This window comes from Homo sapiens, chromosome 13 (genome assembly GCF_000001405.40).
Source record: "Homo sapiens chromosome 13, GRCh38.p14 Primary Assembly".
In the NCBI taxonomy this organism is placed as follows: domain Eukaryota; kingdom Metazoa; phylum Chordata; class Mammalia; order Primates; family Hominidae; genus Homo; species Homo sapiens.
Window position 1 is genome coordinate 95267061 of NC_000013.11, and position 21096 is coordinate 95288156.

Sequence of the window (21096 nt, forward strand, 5' to 3'; positions counted from 1 at the left end):
GAGATGGGGTTTCACCATGTTATGTTGGAAAGGCTGGTCTCAAACTCCTGACCTCAAGTGATCCACCCACCTCGGCCTCCCAAAGTGCTGGGACTACAGGTGTGAGCCATTGCGCCTGGCCATCAAATCTCATCTTGAATTGTAGCTCCCACAGTTCCCCCGTGTTGTGAGAGGGCCTCGGTGGGAGGCAACTGAATCATGGAGGCAGTTCTTTCCCATGCTATTCCCATGATAGTGAATAGGTCTCACGAGATCTGCTGGTTTTATAAAGTGGAGTTTCCCTACACAAGTTCTCTTGTCTGCCACCATGTGAGATGTGTCTTTCCCTTCTGCCAGGATTGTGAGGCCTCCCCAGCCACATGGAACTGTCCATTAAACCTCTTTCTTTTGTACACTGCCCAGTCTCAGGTATGTCTTTATCAGCAGTGTGAAAATGGACTAATACACCAGCTCCCCTGACTTGTCTTCTGCAAAGCTCTACAGGCATGGTGACAAGGGGCTGGGTGGTCAAAGTAAACAGGGCCAGAGAAATGAAGAGTAAGGAGTGGAGGGGAAGGAAGTCATATAATAAAGAATTTGGCTGGGTTTTATCCCTGGTTCTTCTAAATCCTTGGAATGCTCCAAGTAATAGAAGTGTGGTCCCTGATGGTTTACACTAACATAAATTATCAGGGACATAATATAACATAGTGGGTCCCTAGCAGCTGATGCTAACAGATGACTCAGGATGGGGGCTGTGCATATCACAAAGACCAATCCTGTGATGAGAGGGCTGGGCTTGGAGCCAACTGCTATTGCCCAACCTCCAGGGCAGGGGGTACTGGAGACTGAGATCAATCCCACAGCCAATGAGCCCGTCAATCGTGCCGATGTAATGAAGCTCCAATAAAAACTCCAGACACCAAAACCTGGATGAGATTTCCTGGCTGGCAATACTCTGGGCATTGTCAGACACTACTATGTGGGGAGAAGAAAGAGAGATCAGACTGTTACTGTGTCTGTGTAGAAAGAAGAAGACCTAAGAGACTCCAATTTGTTCTGCACTAAGAAAAATTCTTCTGCCTTGAGATGCTGTTAATCTGTAACCCTACCCCCAACCCTGTGCTCGCAGAGACATGTGCTGTGTTGACTCATGATTTAATGAATTTAAGGCTATGCAGGATGTGCTTTGCTAAACAAATGCTTGAAGACAGCGTGCTTCTTAAAAGTCATCACCACTCCCTAATCTCAAGTACCCAGGGACACAAAACAGTGCGAAGGCTGCAGGGACCTCTGCCTAGGAAAGCCAGGTATTGTCCAAGGTTTCTCCCATGTGATAGTCTACAATATGGCCTCGTGGGAAGGGAAAGACCTGACCGTACCCCTGCCCAACACCCTAAAGGGTCTGTGCTGAGGAGGATTAGTAAAAGAGGAAGGCCTCTTTGCAGTTGAGATAAGAGGAAGGCATCTGTCTCCTGCTCGTCCCTTGGCCCTTGGCAATGGAACGTCTCAGTGTAAAACCCAATTGTATATTCCATCTACTGAGATAGGAGAAAACCACCTTAGGGCTAGAGGTGAGACATGCTGGCGGCAGTACTGCTGTTTAATGCATTGAGATGTTTATGTATGTGCACATCAAAGCACACAGCACCTTTTTCTTAACCTTGTTTATGACACAGAGACATTTGTTCACATGTTTTCCTGCTGACCCTCTCCCCACTATTACCCTATTGTCCTGCCACATCCCCCTCTCCGAGAAATAATGATCAATAAATACTGAGGGAACTCAGAGACCGGTGCCTGGGGCGCGGGTCCTGGCGCGGGTTCTCCGTATTCTGAGCGGCGGTCCCCTGGGCCCACTTTTCTTTCTCTATACTTTGTCTCTGTGTCTCTTTCTTTTCTCAGTCTCTCGTCCCACCCGATGAGAAACACCCACAGGTGTGGAGGGGAAGGCCACCCCTTCACTAATAGGCTAGGAAGTGACAGGTCTCAACTCCCTGGAGATGGGACAAGAAAGCTTTGTATTTGGGACTCTCCCTTTGGTTCCAATTGGCAGCCATTTGCTGTAGTAAAACTGTAATTGTAAGTGTAGCACTTTCCTGAGTTCTGTGAGTCATTCTAGCAGATTATTGAACCCAAGGGGGTCATGGGAAGCATAGAATTTGTAGCTGGTTGACTAGAAGTCAGGGTGGGCTGGGCCACCCTGATTTGCCATACCTAAATCTTCCAAATACAGAGCCTACAACCTGTCAGCAGCACAAGCAGCTCACCTGCTAGTCTGGTGGCTGAGGCAGGAGGACTGCTTGAACACAGGAGGTGGAGGCTGCAGTGAGCTGAGACTGCGCCACTGCACTCCAGCCTGGGTGACACAGCGAGACTCCATCTCAAAAAAAAAATATATATATATATATATATATATACACACAACATTGATCAAGATTTAAAAGTAATACAGACCACAAAGAGTTTGAAGTTGACTTTCAGTTCTTTCTGAGGGAAGGGAGGAGCCTGGAATTGAGACAGGACACAGAACAGGGACCAGCAAAATCTTATTTCTTGATCTGGTTGCTACTTACCAGGATGTTAACCTTATAATTTATTATCCACGTTACACATTTGTTTGTATAATATTCTGTATCTGCTTTATAACATAAAGGTTAAAAAATGTAGTGAGAAGGTACACAATGTGATTTCAATGGATAATTTAACAGTGTATATATAATCGTATACTGACCATTTCCTACAGATACATCTGAAAATTACATAACAAATGCATGGTGACAGTGTGGGGTTTTGCAAGAAAAGAAAAGAATAGAGAAAAGAAAAACAGAGCAATGAAATACCATTCTTCACTTCACTCATCAGATGTGCCAAAAAAAGTAACACTTCTAGGGCAGGAAATGAGTAGAAGGAGGGTTAAGATTGGCTGGGAATTGATCATTGTTGACAGACTGGTATTCAGGGGTTCATTACTGTTCCCTCTACTTTTGTACATGTTTGTAATTTTCTGTCATAAGAGAGGATAAAGGAAGGGAGGGAGGAAGACGACCAGAAAATCCACATTTGTATAGCTCTTCAACGTTGGGCATTTGATAGGCATTAGGTTTTCTCCATGAAAAGAGGGACAGTCACCCAACTATTAATATTGGTGTTATCTGTAGTTGGAAATTAAATTAATATATTTTGTTAGTATTTTCTCTAATCAACAATGACTGTGGGAAGGGGAAGAGAAAAAATGACTTTTTTCATCTTTTAATACAGTGATTTAAGAAAAGTAAATATTCCACATTACCAGGCTGTGAAAAAAAAAAAAAAAAAGAAAGAAAAGAAAAATAGGAAAGGAATAAGAAAAGGTGGGCGTAATAGTGACTGCTGAACTACAACCACAGCTTAGCTCACCTAATCCATTCCTTGGCCCATTTGTGGGTCTGACCCTTCCTTCTCCCATCATTCCTGGCACAGGGTTTGACTTTATTACCCACCTCCTTTGCAGTTTGGTGAGACCCTGTGGCACAGAAGAGAAAGGGAGGTCTACCAGCAGCAGCCCAGCGTCAACCAAGCACACAACAGGGGGCTGGCCAGGGCCCACGCATGAGATCTAGTAGAGATTCTGATACTAAGTCTGGGACAGAGCATGAGAACCTGTGTTTCTCCCCAGCCCCAGATGATGGCAATGCTACTGTCTGCAAACCACACTGAGTAGGGAAGCTACAGGCAGAGCCACCACGCATGAGTTTCTCTTCTTTCAGATGCCTCATAGATGGTGGCCAAATGGGCCGGGCACGGTGGCTCACGCCTGTAATCCCAGCACTTTGGGAGGCCGAGGCGAGACGATTATAAGGTCAGGAGATCGAGACTATCCTGGTTAACATGGTGAAACTCCATCTCTACTAAAAATACAAAAAATTAGCCTGGCATGGTGGCAGCCGCCTGTAGTCCCAGCTACTCGGGAGGCTGAGGCAGGAGAATGGCGTGAACCTGGGAGGCGGAGCTTGCAGTGAGCCGAGATCGCGCCACTGCACTCCAGCCTGGGGGACAGAGCCAGACTCCGTCTCAAAAAACAGATGGTGGTCAAATGATAAGCAGTGGAAAAATACACCCAAGACGACCCAAGAAATAGCCAGATGGCCTTTCTCTCTTGACCCATAACAAAGTTTAGCTCAGATCTATGATTAACTCCAGTTAGTGCAGCTAAATAATGAATACAGAGACAGCTGCCGACGGATTACATTAGTGTGCAATGTGATAGGGGCTGGCTGGGCTCTACCAAAAACATAATCTGCCACCCTGAGTCAGAGACAGGGCTGTAAACAATGAGATCTCCAAAGGCAGTCACTGCTGGCCTAGGAAGCAGAGGATAAGAAGGTCACACGCTGGCCTTTGGTTCGCAGAGGTCCCCGTCAGCTGTGCCATTCTTACAAAGAAGCCTACACAGAGGTTGTTTATTCTCTAAGGCCACAGCTATGATTAACAGATTATTACTCTATAAAACCACAGCAAGTATTTGCGTTACCTCAGCCCTCAATATCCTAGCAGTCCGGTATTTATGAATGTCACAATGTTTGTCCAAAAATTTCAGGAAGCGGAGAACTTGTACCAAACCTCAAGGATACGTTGAGACACTGATCTGTAATGGAACCTTCTTGGTTCCTTAGCTTTATGTTCCTTTTCTATTTATATAACAAACAGACATTGGTCCTAACAGAAACAGAGCACGCAGCGTGACATAGCTCTGCACGAAACTGGAAGGAGACAAGCAGGATTCCCTGGGCCTTTAATCACCATTAGCCAACAGCCTGGAAAACAGACGGGACTCAATCCAAAAAGCTCCTAACCACCCAAGAAGTCTGATCACATGCCTCTCCCCACCAACTTTAAGAAAAAGCCAGTTTGAACTCACAAAAAATCTAAATTATTGAATATACACAAAGAGGTGCAGGCTGATTAATCTCTAGTACCTGAGATAACTTCCTCAGAGGAAATGCTCCAGCATGTTCTTTAAGCACATATTTTTTTTTTTTTGAGACGAACTTTCGCTCTTGTTGCCCAGGCTGGGGTGCAATGGCACGATCTCGGCTCACTGCAACCTCCACCTCCTAGGTTCAAGTGATTCTCCTGCCTCAGCCTCCTGAGTAGCTGGGATTACAGGCACCCGCCAGCACACCCGGCTAATTTTTTGTATTTTTACTAGAGATAGCGTTTCACCACGTTGGCCAGGCTGGTCTCAAACTCCTGACCTCAGGTGATCCACTTGGCCTCCCAAAGTGTGGGATTACAGGTGTGAGCCAACACGCCAAGCCTCTTTGTGCACATAAAGTGTCTGTGGTAAAATGTGTTTACAACATTCTCTAAGCAATCTAATTTATACTGTTCATTTGCCCTAAAAAAACCTTTCACAGACAGAGAAAAAAGTACTTTCCAGCCCAGTTTCTGTTTAAATGACCACAAATTTCATATTCAAACATGAAATCTAAATTAATCCTGTGAATTAATCTAAATTAATTCAGTGGATTATAAACTCCACAAGGCCACAGATTGATTTTAGCATCTAGTACTAAACATGTGGGGCCGGGCACGGTGGCTCACGCCTGTAATCCCAGCACTTTGGGAGGCCAAGGCAGGTGGATCACCTGAGGTCAGGAGTTTGAGACCAGCCTGGCCAACATGGTGAAACCCTGTCTCTACTAAAAATCCAAAAATTAGCCAGGTGTGGTGGTGCATGCCTGTAATCCCCGCTACTCGAGAGGCTGAGACAGGGGAATCGCTTGAACCCGGGAGGCAGAGGTTGCAGTGAGCCAAGATGTCACCATTGCACTCCAGCCTGGGTGACAGAGCGAGACTCCGTCTCAAAAAATAAAAAAATAAAAAAATAAAATAAACATGTGCTGGACAAACCTAAACACCTGCTACCTAACACAAAATCATACACACACACACACACCCCCTACAGGACCCCAATGACTTTATATGACAAGAAAGAAAACAAACAGATATTTAGGCATAATTAACCTGGAAAACAGGTTGGGCTCATAAAAATCCCAGAAATTTTATCTATGGCAATTGATTTTTTTTATCCTAATTCAAAGAGCAATTTATGAAGAAGATGGTCCCTGCTTATCTGGAATGTTCCCTGAAACTTCCAAACCTTTTACCAAAGTCGCCAAACCAATAGCACATGTGTTACAATTATTTGGGGGCATTTTCTTTTCCTGACGTTTCTTTCAGCTTTGACAAGGTAGGGCCTCCCACAACGTCAGAGTGAGGTTCAGGTGCGAGTGTGTTTTGCTCAGCCTTACCGCAGCTCTGTCGGCCTGGATGGGCGTGGGGTCCCAAATAACACCCTCTAGGCCATGGCTTCCTTTCTTTCCTGGCCCCTTCCCTCAGGTTGTGAGTCTTTAGCCCACCTAGCAGACTCAGGGTGTGCCACCAGTTCCCTGGAGGAGCAGATCATTGAAAATACAGCAAAGTTAAAATTAAACGCAACAAGGCCAGGTGCATTGCCTTCTGTTCCATGGGGACTATTTGTCCTAAGACTTTGACTGAGCACCATGGACCCTCCTGCTCTGTCAAATGCCTCTTCCTGCTGGCTCCAGGTTTACACTACTGATATGGCTCTGTGTCCCCACCCAAATCTCATCTTGTAGCTCCCACAGTTCCCACATGTTGTGGGAGGGATCCAATGGGAGATAATTGAATCATGGGGGCGGGTCTTTCCTGTGCTGTTCTTGTGATAGTGGATAAGTCTCACGAGATCTGATGGGTTTTTTTTTTGGTTTGTTTTTTTTTTTTTTTTTTTGAGACGGAGTCTTGCTGTTGCCCAGGCTGGAATGCAGTGGCGCGATCTAGGCTCACTGCAGGCTCCGCCCCCCGGGGTTCACGCGATATCTGATGCTTTTAAAAATAAGAGTTTGCCTGCACAAGCTCTCTCTTTGCCTGCTGCCATCCACGTGACTTTCTCCTCCGTGCCTTCTGTCATGATTGTGAGGTCTCCCCAGCCACATGGAACTGTAAGTCCACTAAACCTCTTCTTTTGTAAATTGCCCAGTCTCAGGTATGTCTTTATCAGCAGCGTGAAAACAGACTCATACAACTAACAAGCCTGCTTTAGCTTTTCACTGTTCTGCCCAAGCAACTTTCCCCTTCAGCCAGGCCAGTAGATTTCTCATACAGCAGGGTGACCCTGTTCAGGGCCTTTGTACTGTTTATATTTTTTACTTTGTGCATACTATGATGTCTTGACGTTTTGGAAACCTCTCTGGCTGGGGAGAGACTGTCCTTCCCAGAGCTGGCCAGTTCTTAGAACCAGAAGGGCCCAGCCAGGAGCACAGCTCTGATATGCAAACCAACCAACCCAGAGCTATGCCGTCTTTATCTAGCCTGTCCACCCCAGGAAGCAGTATTTCTTCACCTATATCATGCCAGAGCCTGATAACAAGCAACTAGAAACCATGCCTGTAGCTTACAGCCTGCCAAAATTATTCAAACTAGCCAATTCTAAACTGTTCACATGCACTCCCCTGCCCTGTCCCTGAAAGCTCAAGAAAGACCATGGCCCAGGCTCTCCCCTCACTCCTGCCCCTTCAGGCTCCTACAGGGGGGACCAAGACTGATGCTTCCCCATGTGGCCCTGCAGGGCATGACATGCTTCCCGTCTCTAAGACCTGTGAGTATAATAACCTTGGCCTTCCTGAGCACCTCCTCTGCCTCCTCCTGTGGCCACATCTCACTGACCATCACAAAAAACAACATAGAATAAGCCAGGCATGGTGGCTTATGCCTGTAATCCCAGCACTTTGGGAGGCCGAGGCAGGCGGATCACTTGACGTCAGGAGTTCGAGACCAGCCTGGCCAACATGGTACAACCCTGTCTCTACTAAAAACACAAAAATTAGCCAGGTGTGGTGGTGGGTGCCTGTAATCCCAGCTACTCAGGAGGCTGAAGCAGGATAATCACTTGAACCCGGGAGGCAGAGGTTGCAGTGAGCCGAGATTGTGCCACTGCACTCCAGCCTGGGCAACAGAGCAAGACTCCGTCTCAAAAAATAAAATAAAACAGGTTTTCATTTTAATTTTTAACATATAAACCTCCACAGGAACATTCTGACACAGACTTCAGCCCCAGGCCTACATCACCCTATGATCCAAATTATTTTATAGTAAATGGTATGAAGTTTGGAGAGGAAGGGCAATTTGGCCATCATGCTGTGATTTTACTGCAGGTAAAGTAGAATCACCATGAAAGTGGTGGAGCCTTGCTTTTTCTTTAATTTTTATAATGCCACCACCCTACATTCTTAGGAGAAAAGGCAAGGAGTTAAATAAATAAGCACAGATTTAAGTTCACATTTCTGGTAATTATCCGCAAGCTAATAACTGAGATTGCTTAAGCTCTGTAAACAAAACACACAAAGCCCTTGTGGCTCTGCGCCAGAATCAAAGGTCTGATCCAAAACTCCCCCATCCCCTTGTTGGCTTTGAACATGAAACCAATTTTCTACACCAAATCAGGCCTACTTCTTTGTAACCATCCTTACCATCTCTCTTATAGGAAAATGTTTAGGACTCTTGGCGGTGACTCTAGAACTAGGAAATCAACTCTCTCAGCAGCACTCTAATGAGCAAAAACAACTGTGCCTCAAAATACAGGCTGCAGTGGGCAGAAATCTCTGTACTGCACTCCAGCCTGGGTGACAGAGTAAGTTTCTGTCTCAAAAAAAAAAAAAAATCAAGTAACAAAGAACAGCTGTCTAAAACTGTTAACACTGATTCAAAATATAATAACCTTTATGCCTGTTATTCAGAGTTAAAGTGGGTACGCTAATTATAAATCATACACTTTTCTAATTGTGCAATACTCTGTCAATGGGATAGATTTTAGGAAAATTCCAGCTGAACCAGTCCATTCTTTGAATCATTAGGTCAATTACAAACATGCCAATCCTTAGCCTGAATAGCTGCATATTTAGAAAGACCTAAAACATTCTTCAAAAAGCTGCCATACATGGTCTGTTAAAGGGCTTACTTGGTAGGAAATAAATCAAGAGGGAATACTCCATAGTGAATCTCAGGGCACTTTTTAAAACAAATCTCAGGGCTGAGCACAATGGTTCATGCCTATAATCTCACTGCTTTGAGGGGCCAAGGCAGGAGGATTGCTCAAGCCCAGGAGTTTGAGACCAGCCTGGGCAACATGGCAAGACCTAGTCCCTACAAAAAAATTGTTTTATTAGCTAGGCATGGTGGAACACGCCTGTGGTCCCAGCTATTCCAGAGGCTGAAGTGGGAGGATCACTTAAGCCCAGGAAGTCAAGGCTGCAGTGAGCCATGATCTCACCACTGCACTCGAGCCTGGGAGACAGTACAGGACCCATCTCCAAAAAAAAAAAAAAAAAAAGTGAACGAAGCTGCAATAAGCTGTGATCATACCACTGCACACTAGCCTAGGCGACAGAGTGAGACCCTGCCTCAAAAAAAAAAAAAGAAAAAAAGAAAAAACCAATTGATAAAAGAGTAACCTCCCAATCCCCAGCTGTGGAACCCAAGAGCAGAGAAGGCAGCCACCCGCCTCTCTTTCCCTCAAAGACACCAGAGTGCAATAGGCTCTTCCTCACTCATTCCCATGGGAAGTAGCCTTCAACCCCTCTCAAACCACAGCATATAGAGATGCCTTTATTAATAAAAAAGGATACAACCCACGGGCCAGCCGCAGTGGCTCACGCCTGTAATCCCAACACTTTGGGAAGCCAAGGCAGGCAGATCACCTGAGGCCAGGAGTCCGAGACCAGCCTGGCCAACATGGTGAAACTCTGTCTCTACTAAAAGCACAAACATTAACCGAGTGTGGTGGCACACGCCTGTAGTCCCAGCTACTTAGGAGGCTGAGGCAGGAGAATCGCTTGAATCCGGGAGGCAAAAGTTGGAGTTAGCCGAAGTCGCACCACTGCACTCCAGACTGGGCGACAGAGCGAGACTCAGTCTCAAAAATAAATAAATACAATAAATAAATAAACAAAGTATACAACCCACAACTCACTTTTTTTTCTAACCAGGAATCTCAACAACAGGACTATAGGGAAACAAGAATTATTAACCTCATTAATTCAAATTAACTCTTAAGCACCCACCACTAACAGGCACTCTTATAGGTTCTAGACCTAGGATCATTTTTACAGAGTTCACATTGGGGAAGGGAGAGGGGAGAGGGAAAGGCAATCACACTAAAAAGAGGGGGTCAGAGTAACAGTAAGATCCACACAGAAGGCCAGGCACAGTGGCTCACACCTATAATCCAAGCACTTTGGGAGGCCAAGGAGGGTGGATCACCTGAGTTCAGGAGTTCGAGACCAGCCTGGCCAACATGGTGAAACCTTGTCTCTACCAAAAATACAAAAATTAGCCGGGCATGGTGGCGGGCGCCTGTAATCTCAGTTATTTGGGAGCCTGAGGCAGGAGGATCGCCTGAACCCAGGAGGTGGAGGTTGCAGTGAGCTGGGACCATGCCATTGCACTCCAGCCTAGGCAACAAGAGTGAGACTTCTCAAAAAAAAAAAAAAAATCCACAAAGAAAGTAGGGAGCCATGGTAGTGAATGGGGGCGTTTACTCTAGATGGGTGGTCAAGGCAGAGTTTCCCAGGAGGACAAAGCCCCCAGTGACAAGAGCAGGGTCAACAAGTTCCAAGCAAAGAGAACAGCAAGTGCTGAAGCCTAAGGCTAATGCACTTACAGAAAAATCCTTAATGACTAAGTGTGTTGCCTCTGTTTGCGCAGAGATCACAAAACGTGTCCCGCAGAAGGGAGAGAAAAAGGGACCCCAGGAGAGGGTGGCGGGGCTTCAGGTCCTGGAGAAAGGCAGCAAGCATGGCTAACACATTCCTTGGTCCACCCTGCAGGGTAATACTGCACCTTCAATTGACTTATGAAGAAACTAGCTCAGATTGGAACAACAGCCAGGACAGTCACCACCAAGGGGACTTGCCCCACTGGAGAAGGCAAGTCTGACCCCCTACCCCACCGCGGTCAACCCAGGGACGGAGGAGAGAACGCCGCATGCCATTGTTCTTATGTATAAAGCACAGGTTACAGGTTATTTCTGAAGATGTCTGCTCAAGTGGAGATGCTACCAGGTTTTTACCAATCATTACTTTGGATAAAAGTTTAGCAAATATTTACATCACTGTGCCCACAGTTTGTGCTTATGCCCCATGGCTTTAGAGGGCCCGTATACCTTATGTATACTTCATATTATGTATAATATGAACTTCAGCTCCATTCATGGTCATATCATCTAACCTGGGATACTCTTAGGAGTGAAAGGGGGAGCTTAATAGTGGCAGTGTGATAAGGGATATAAACCAGGATTCTCCTGGGCCAACTGGTACAGGTGAAAAGGATGACTGAAACGGCAGAGGTCCTCCATTCTTCTAGATGGGTGATCAAGGCAGAGGTTCCCAGGAGGACCAAGCCCAGACAGAGAGGCAAGGGGCGGTGGCTCACGCCTATAATCCCAACACATTGGGAGGCTGAGGTGGGTGGATTGCATGAGCCAGGGAGTTTGAAAGCAGCCTGTGCAACATGGTAAAACCCTGCCTCTACAAAACAAAAACAAAAATTAGCCAGGCATGGTGGTGCATGCCTATAGTCCCAGCTACTCAGGAAGCTGAGGTGGGAGGATCACCTGAGCCCGAGCACAGGGAGGTTGAGGCTGCAGTGAGCTATGATCGCACCACTTATACTCCAGCCTGAGAGACAGAGCAAGACCCTGTCTCGGAAAAAAAAAAAAAAAAAAAAAAAAAAACACAGACTGACAACAACTCAATGAACTCAGATAATTAGAAATTCTATTAGTCTAATTTCATATGAAACCAAGGTATTTTTTTTTTCCTTCCTCAGAGACCGGAGTGGGAGAGAAACTGTTACAGCCAATCACTTCCTTCCAGGAAAAAAAAAGACGCAAATAACAACACAAAAAAACGTGATCTAATAGACAATCCAGATATAAAGAACACAAACCCTTTTCCCTACAATTTAACCAAATGCTAAAATGCACCAGGAAACACAGGATACTACAGAGATAAAGATTTGGCCAGCAGATTATCAACCCCAGGAAAAGAAATCCATTTCTGTAGCATGCTATGCTGTTGGAGGCACACGTCACACTTCTTAATTCAAGGACAGAAAAGCACAAACTAAAATGCACACTGGAGTATGACTCCCCCTTCTCTATCTGCTAAAGCGCTTCGCATGTGACTTTCAATCTCTAAGCTGGGAATCAATCAGGCAGCCCAGCCTCCTATATTTTCTAGTTGTATTGCTTTGAGCATCAAATTTAACCTCTGTGCACCTCAATTTCTTCAGCTGGAGACAAAGAAAGTGGCTGCACTGTGGCAGAGTGTTTGCAAATGTTAATCATGGTTATGGTAGCATTCTACCTTGTCTTACAGATGGTTGCCTAAAAAGGTAGGAAACTGTTCACGAAAAAGTCTCAACCGGTCCTAGAGTGATCAGAATGACAGCGCTGAAATAAGGAGGGCAGTACCTCTTATTCCAGAGAAGTGGGGAGCAGAGAGGAAGATGGAGTGGAAAGGGGCGAGGCAAGGCCCTCCTGAAATACCTCAACCCAAATCTTCAAGAAATCCCCAAGTCCTCACAGTGCTTTTTGTGGATTTTTGTGGAAACCGGTAAAAGGGGCTGATTTGCTGACCCCAGTGGGTAGAAAACAGAGACTGTCAAGAGAACAGAAGAGAAGGCAGAAAGGGGATGGGGAAGTGGGGTTCGCCATGTTCACGAGCTCCTGGAGCCACAGGGCCCCCCAGGAACAACAGAGCTGAGACTGGGTGGCCTTGTTTCTGGCCCAATTCCCTGGGACCACCACCCTGGAAGGACACTTGAGCCCTACTCAAGGACCCACCACAACATCTCAGCATTGTCGGTCCTTAAATGCCAAGGTTTGTGCTCACCATTTCCATCCTTAAGATTCTCACAGGGAAGAACCCACACAACAGCTTTGTCCCTGCGACTCTGGGTGAGTTTCTGACACTGGCCTGGGCTCCCGTTTTGCCCGTCACCAACTTCTCACAGTATAACTATCCAAGAGAAGTAGCATTTGATGTCAGGGAATCAAAAGGGCTAAGGCTCGGGAGGCCAAGGCAGGTGAATCACTTGTAATCAGGAGTTCGAGACCACCCTGACCAACATAGTGAAACCCCATCTCTACTAACAATACAAAAAATTAACCAGGTGTGGTGGCAGGTGCCTGTAATCCCAGCTACTCAGGAGGCTGAGGTAGGAGGATCACTTGAACCCAGGAGGCAGAGGTTGTGGTACGCCAAGATCATGACACTGCACTCCAGCCTGGGTGACAGAGTGAGACTCCATCTCAAAAAAAAAAAAAAAAAAGGCCTAAGGCTTACTCAGGGTCATCTATGGTTTGCCAAGCAGAGTTCAATCCAATCAACAAAACCCTCACTGCCCACTTTTCCAAAACCTGATATAGTCAGTCACTAGTAGCTGCCATTTGCTGTTTTGCCTTCTATTAAAAAAAAAAAAAAAAAAAAAACCATCCAATTCCCAGAAGTCAAAGGCAATTCCTTCCCTTTTCTGTGTCTGTGAGACGGCTCTCTGTGGGATTCCTTCCTGCTGCACCTCATCCTTCCTGGAAGGGACTCTCAGAAAATGTGCCTCCTCCTTACAGGAAAGGAATTCCTCCCGAGGAACTGTGGACATGAGGCAGCTTTGTGGAATTTCCCTTCCACAGACTTCAGCCTATTTTCTGGGCAAACTTAGCAGAAATGACCAAAATCCACTCGAGAGAGACAGCAACAAGGAGAGGGGAAGAGATCCTATTTTGGCTTCTTCAAATGGACCAATTTTCTCTTTAAAATATTTATTTTAAGGAAAAACAAGGACTACATTATATTTTAAAGGGGGAGAAGGAAGAGGATTTTGAGTTGCTAAGAGAACAGAGCCATCTCTTTTCTTTTAATACTGGATGCTAAGAACTTGCACAGGGTTTTCCCAAAAGCCAGATAGTTCAGGTAATTTGCATGTGGCTGTAAAAGAGAAAGTTCAGGCCAGGCACTGTGGCAACATGGTGAAACCCCATCTCTACTAAAAATACAAAAATTAGCTGGGTGTGGTGGTGCAAGCCTGTAATCCCAGCTACTTGGGAGGCTGAGGCAGGGGAATCACTTGAATCTGGGAGGTGGACGTTGCAGTGAGCCAAGATCACACCACTGCACTCCTGGGCGACAGAGACTCTCTCAAAAAAAAAAAAAAAAAAAAAAAAAGAGAGAGAGAAAGTTGAGAGCATAAGTCTGAGTGATTCTGCCTGAAAGAACAGAACAGCTTACACTGGACAGGCTTTTGCCCAAGACACACCTCATCTGGCATTGAGAAACGAACACCAACAATAATGAGTGACAGAATGTTAAGAACAATAATTATACAGACTTGGACCTCCCAGACTGCTTGTCTGTAGTAATTCAGAAGGAAGCAAAGTATTCTGAAGTGTTTATGAAGATTGGTTCCACATCTGAAGAATTTTAGTAATCTTACCCAAACTCAACCCAAGAAATATGAGGAAAAGAGGGAGTAGTTCTATAATAAGCAGGTGGAATAGAGGGTCAAACTCCTTGGCGAGTTCAGTCTAACAGAGGACACATTACTGCCCTACAAAGCAGCTCTGGAAAATGACAACCAGTGGCACTAACTCCAGGCAATATCTTTGTGAGGCTTGTGGGCTGTAATATAGTCTGCTCAGGCTGCCATAAAAAAAAAATCACAATCAGGCCAGGCACTATGGCTCACACCTGTAATCCCAGCACTTTGGGAGGCCAAGGAGGGCAGATCACCTGAGGTTAGGAGTTCGAGACCAGGCTGGCCAACATGGCAAAACCCCGTCTCTACTAAAAATACAAAAATTACCCGGATGTGGTAGCACGCACCGGTAGTCCCAGCTACTCGTCAGGCTGAGGCAGGAGAATTGCTTGAACCTGGGAGGGGTGGAGGTTGCAGTGGGCTGAGATCACACCACTGTACTCCAGCCTGGACAACAGAGCCACTGCACTCCAGCCTGGGCAACAGAGAGAGACTCCATCTTAAAAAAAAAAAAAAAAAATCCCCGTCTTCAAATACAATCACATTCTGAAGTACTAGAGATCAGGACTCCAACATGCGAACTTTGGGGGGACATAATTCAGCCCGTAATATGGGTGATAAAGGAGCAGGTCCAGACTTAGAGAAACAAGGACTCCCTGGGTCAAGCTCTGGAAGTGAAAGGCTTCTTCAAAGACAGGAAAGTCCCACTGAAGGTGGCTTTGGAAGTGCACCCTTGCAGCACAGCAACCTTCTTGATTTGCTCAAGAGCAGGGGTTCTGACAGGTCTCAAAGCACTTTGTTTAATGAAACAGAATCGAAAATACCAGTGTGTCACATGTTTCCTAAGACAGGACACTGTTTCTTGAAACTTTTACTAAAGTATGTTTTTCTTTTATTTTTTTATTTTTTATTTTTTTTGAGAAGGAGTCTTGCTCTGTCGCCCAGGCTGGAGTGCAGTGGCACAATCTCGACTCACTGCAACCTCTGCCTCCCGGGTTCAAACAATTCTCCTGCCTCAGCCTCCTGAGTAGCTGGGATTACAGGTGCACGCCATCATGCCTGGCTAATTTTTGTATTTTTAGTAGAGACAGGGTTTCACCATGTTGACCAGTCTGCTCTCAAACTCCTGACCTTGTGATCTGCCCACCTTGGCCTCCCAAAGTGCTGGGATTACAGGTGTGAGCCACCGTGTCCAGCCTAAAGTATGTTAAATATGTTATGTGTGAGAGAGAGAAAGAGAATATATCTCTTGGTCATTACATATGTAAAACTTGTAGAACGTGATCAAAATGTTTAAAAACTGGCCAGGCACAGTGGCTCAAGCCTGTATCCCAGCACTTTGGGATCCCAAGGCAGGTGGATCACAAGGTCAGGAATCAAGACCATCCTGGTCAACACAGTGAAACCCCATCTCTACTAAAAATACAAAAAATTAGCCTGGCGCGGTGGCACGCACCTGTAGTCCCAGCTACTTGGGAGGCTGGGGCAGGAGAATCGCTTGAACCTGGGAGGCGGAGGCTGCAGTGAGCTGAGATAGCGCCACTGCACTCCTGCCTGGGCAACAGAGCAAGACTCCAACTCAAAAAAAAAAAAAAAAGTTTAAAAACTGGTCCTGTGGCAGTGGGTCTCAAACATCAGCATGCATCAGAATCACTTGGAGGACTGATTAAAACACAGGCTGCTGCTGATGCTGCTAATCCTAGAGCCACCTTGAAGTTTTTCTGTGGTTTTTTTTTTTTTTTTTTTTTTTTTTTTGAGACAGGGTCTTGCTGTCTCCCAGGCTGGAGTGCAGTGGTGCAATGATACCTCACTGCAGCCTTGAACTCCTGGGCTCAAGCAATGCCCCCATCTCAGCCTCCCAAGCAACTAGGACTGTAGCTAGCTCCTAACTCATTCCCTCCATTCCTGCCCTCCCCTAACTTTATATTGCAGCCAGAAGGATATTTTTTCTGAAGAGCATCTCATGCTGAGTGGCAGCAGAATGCAGAGATTAAGAGAGGGGGCCAGGCACAGTGGCTCACACCTCTAATCCCAGCACTTTGGGAGGCCGAGGTGGGTGGATCACCCGAGGTCAGGAGTTCAAGACCAGCCTAGCCAACATGGAGAAACCCCGTCTCTATGGGCGTGGTGGTGCATACCTGTAATCCCAGCTACTAGGGAGGCTGAGGCAGGAGAATCACTTGAACCCAGGAGGCAGAGGTTGCCGTGAGCCGAGATCTCGTCATTGCACTCCAGCCTGGGCAACAAGAGCGAAACTCCGTCTCAAAAAAAAAAAAAGAGTGGCGCCAGGTGCAGTGGCTCACGCCTGTAATCCCAGCACTTTGGGAGGCCGAGGCAGGCAAATCATCTGAGGTCGGGAGTTCGAGACCAGCCTGACCAACATAGAGAAACCCCGTCTCTACTAAAAATACAAAAAAATTAGCCGAGCGTGGTGGCATGTGTCGTATGCCTGTAATCCCAGCTACTGGGGAGGCTGAGGCAGGAGAATTACTTGAACCTGGGAGGCAGGTTTTTTGTTTTTTGTTTTGGTTTTGTTTGAGATTTTGGTTGTTGTTTTTTGGGGTTTTTTTGAGACAGGGTCTCACTGTGTTGTCCAGGCTGGAGTGCAGGGGTGCGATCATGTGTCACTGCAGCCACAACCTCCTGGGCTCAGGTGATCCTCCCACCTCAGCCTTCCTGAGTAACTGTTACTACAGGTGTGCACCACCATGACTGGCTAATTTTTGTATTTTTTGTAGAGACAAGAGTTTCACCATGTTGCACAGGCTGTTCACAAACTCCTAGGCTCAAGCTATCCACCTGCCTCAGCCTCCCAAAGTGCTGGGATTATAGGCATGAGCCACCTTGCCCAGCCAACTGAGCCACTTTGTGCCAGGACTAGGTCAGGTACTTGGGACATATACAGGCAAGGACACTGCCCACAGGGAACTGACAGTGTCTAGCAGCTACACAGATGACACGGCCTTTTCGGCAGACACCCCTGTCCCCTGTGCTTGGCAAACAGCAGAGACTCAAAAATGTATATGGTTTGACTCCCACTGGAACATAAGCCCCTTAGGGCAGGGACCAGGGTCACTGTATTCCCAGCACCTATAATCAAGAGGTACATGACGCTGCAGCTGAGAGCAGGGACTCTGTGCTAAGTTACCTACCTGGTTTGAACCTAGGCTCTGCCACTCAAAGGCTGTGTGACCGTGGGAAATAATAGTACCCACCCCAAAGGTTTGTTATTAGTATTTAATAATATTTATTGGTAAGGTACTTAGAATAGCCCCCCTGCCTACAGGAAGCAGTACATAATTATAATGTCTAAATATACAGTAGTTCCAGGCCAGGCATGGTGGCTCATGTCTGTATTCCTAGCAGAATGAGAGGCCGAGGAAGGAGAATCATTTGAGTCCAGGAGTTTGAGACCAGCCTGGATAACATAGTGAGATCTCGTCTCTACAAAAAATAAACAAAAGTAAGCCAGACATGGTGGCACATGCCTGCAATCCCAGCTACTCAAAAGGCTGTGATTAGAGAATCACTTGAGCCCAGGAGGTAGAGGCTGCAATGAGCTGAGATCACACCACTGTACTCCAGCCTGGGCAACAGAGTGAGACTCCGTCTCTTAAATAAATAAATAAATAGGGGCCAGGCGTGGTAGCTTACACCTGTAATCCCAGCACATTGGGAGGCTGAGGCGGGAGGATCACTTGAGGACAGGAGTTCAAGACCAACCTGACCAACATGGTGAAACCCCATCTCTACTAAAACACAACAATCAGCTGGGCATGGTGGCGGGTGCCTGTAATCCCAGCTATTTTGGGGGCTGAGGCAGGAGAATCACTTGAACCCAGGAGGCAGAGGTTGCAGTGAGCCAAGATCACACTACTACACTCCAGCCTGGGCAACAGAGCGGGACTCCATCTCAAATAAATAAATAAATAGCAGTTCCATATCCTCTGAATAATGGACTAGAAGTTGGTTAATGGATGGGTTTTCAGGGAGAATTTTAGCAGCCGAGCTGAGAGGTAGGTACTCTAGCCAGGGTATATAACATGAGCTAAGGGAACAGGACAGCAAATATAAGGTGTGATCAGGGGAAAGGCATCATATATTGACTGTCCAGGAACAATGGATATCTGAGAATGTAGGAAAGCTAAGTTAGGACCAGGAAAAGGAGAGTATTAAATGCCAAAGAAGATGCCACCAAAGGTTCTGGAACAGAAAGCAGCAGAGCTATGCCTTGTAAAGATAAAGCCTGCAGTGTATTGACTGGGTTGGAATCTGGAATCATTGCGTGCCTCCAGTCAAGACGTGGCAACTGACCAACTACCTTTTATCACTGACCAGACTCTTCCCTACGTGCAGATAACTGAGGACGCAAGCCTTAGTTACTGGGTGTGGTGGTGCTATTAACGGAAAAAGGGAAGTCAGCCAGCAAAGGCTGACTGGGGCAATTTCAGCCTTGTTGCTCTGCTGTGAAACTGCTTTCCAGAAAAACTTTTTTTTTTTTTTGAGACGGAGTCTCACTCTGTCACCCAGGCTGGAGTGCAGTGGCACAATTTCGGCTCACTGCAACCTCCGCCTCCCAGGTTCAAGCGATTCTCCTGTCTCAGCCTCCCCAGAAGCTGGGATTACAGGCGCCCACCACCACACTCAGCTAATTTTTGTATTTTTAGTAAAGTCAGGGTTCCACTATGTTGGCCAGGCTGATCTCCAACTCCTGACCTCAGGTGATCCGCCTGCCTCGGCCTCCCAAAGTGCTGAGATTACAGGCATGAGCCACAGTGCCCAGCCCAGGAAAACTTCTTAAAGATGTAATAATAACGCACCTTATTATTTTCCAAGTACTTCCATAGATAGTGGCCCACTTCTGAGTATGAATTAAATTTCCCTTTGTGGCCTTTGTTTTTTTAATAGATCTTCATTTCTGGGGGGACTTACAAACAGGTGACTTCTCCATTCACCAGAGATGGGACATTATACACTGACCTACTTCCATATTCACTTTCCCTGCTTGATTGGAGGTGAGGGAGAAAAATTAGTGTATAAGGCCGGGCGCGGAGGCTCACGCCTGTAATCCCAGGACTTTAGAAGGCTGAGGCAGGTGGATCACCTGAGGTCAGGAGTTCGAGACCAGCCTGGCCAACATGGTGAAACCCCTTGTCTACTAAAAATACAAAAATTAGCCAGGTGTGGTGGCACACGCCTGTAATCCCAGTTACTCAGGAGGCTGAGGCAGGAGAATTGCTTGAACCCCGAGGCAGAGGTTGCAGTGAGCTGAGTCCATGCCATTGCACTCTAGCCTGGGCAACAAGAGTGAAACTCTGTCTCAAAAAAAAAAAAAAAAGAAAAGAAAAGAAAAATAAGTGTATAGAACTTTATTGTTTCATTGACCGGGCACGATGGCTCACGCCTGTAACTCTAGCACTTTGGGAGGCCAAGGTGGGCAGATTGGCTGAGCTCAGCAGTTTGAAACCAGCCTGGGCAACATGGTGAAACCTATCTCTAATAAAATACAAAAAATTAGCCCGGTATGGTAGCACATGCCTATAGTTTCAGCTACCTGGGAGGCTGAGGCATGAGAATCACTTGAACCCAGAAGGTTGCAGTGAGCCAAGATTGTGCCACTGCACTCCAGCCTGGGCAACAGAGCAAAACTCTGTCTCCAAAAAAAGAGAACTGGCCAGGGATGGTGGCTCACGCCTCTAATCCCAGCACTTTGGGAGGCTAAGGTGGGCAGATCACGAGGTCAGGAGTTCAAGACCAGCCTGGCCAACATGGTGAAACCCCGTCTCTACTAAAAATACAAAAATTAGCTGGGCATGGTGGCAGGCACCTGTAATCCCAGCTACTCAGGAGGCTGAGACAGCAGAATCGTTTGAATCTGGGAGGTAGAAGTTGCAGTGAGCCAAGATCACGCCATTGCACTCCAGCCTGGGTGGAAGGGCATGACTTCGTCTCAAAAAAAAAAAAACTTTTTCCTTAAAATACACCTCTTGGAGCCAGTCCCAGATACTTGGGAGGATCAGGAAGGAGGACCTCTTGAGGCCATAAATTTGAGGATGTAGTGTGCCTGTGAATAGCCACTACACTCTAGCCTGGGCAACACAGAAAGACCTCATAAATAAATAAATAGGCCAGATGAGGTGGCTCACACCTGTAATCTCAGCACTTTGGGAGGCCAAGGCTGGCAGATCACGAAGTTAGGAGATCAAGACCATCCTGGCTAACACAGTGAAACCCCGTCTCTACTAAAACTACAAAAAATTAGCCAGGCATGGTGGCATGCACCTATAGTCCCAGCTACTCGGGAGGCTGAGGCACGAGAATCACTTGAACCCGGGAGACGGAGGTTGCAGTGAGCCGAAATCGCACCACTGCACTCCAGCCTGGGCAACGGAGTGAGACTCTGCCTCACACAAATAATAAATAAATAAATAAATATTTTATAATGTATTTTTAAAATATAGTTCTTAAAACATGCCATGAGTAGGTTTAATTTTTCTAAATCATAGAATAGGATACTGAAGC

At 46.4% G+C, this 21096-nt stretch overlaps 1 protein-coding gene and 1 long non-coding RNA gene across 6 annotated transcripts in view, besides 2 other annotated features; one reads left to right on the top strand and one right to left on the bottom strand.

The window, feature by feature from the left end:
- ABCC4 (ATP binding cassette subfamily C member 4 (PEL blood group)) overlaps nucleotides 1-21096 on the bottom strand; it is a 281617-nt gene that overhangs the window by 247226 nt on the left and 13295 nt on the right. The window lies entirely within an intron of this gene.
- Nucleotides 7524-7623: a silencer, noted in NCBI's record as "silent region_5436". NCBI's record gives its function as "represses an Ori minimal core promoter by ATAC-STARR-seq in GM12878 lymphoblastoid cells {active_cell/tissue: GM12878}" and the evidence as "EXISTENCE:reporter gene assay evidence [ECO:0000049][PMID:35858748]".
- On the top strand, nucleotides 11029-14374 carry LOC124903192 (uncharacterized). Its single transcript, XR_007063838.1, has 2 exons — nucleotides 11029-11102; nucleotides 11869-14374. It is a non-coding gene; the product is annotated as an uncharacterized LOC124903192 (long non-coding RNA).
- Nucleotides 15145-15194: an enhancer, noted in NCBI's record as "active region_7873". NCBI's record gives its function as "activates an Ori minimal core promoter by ATAC-STARR-seq in GM12878 lymphoblastoid cells {active_cell/tissue: GM12878}" and the evidence as "EXISTENCE:reporter gene assay evidence [ECO:0000049][PMID:35858748]".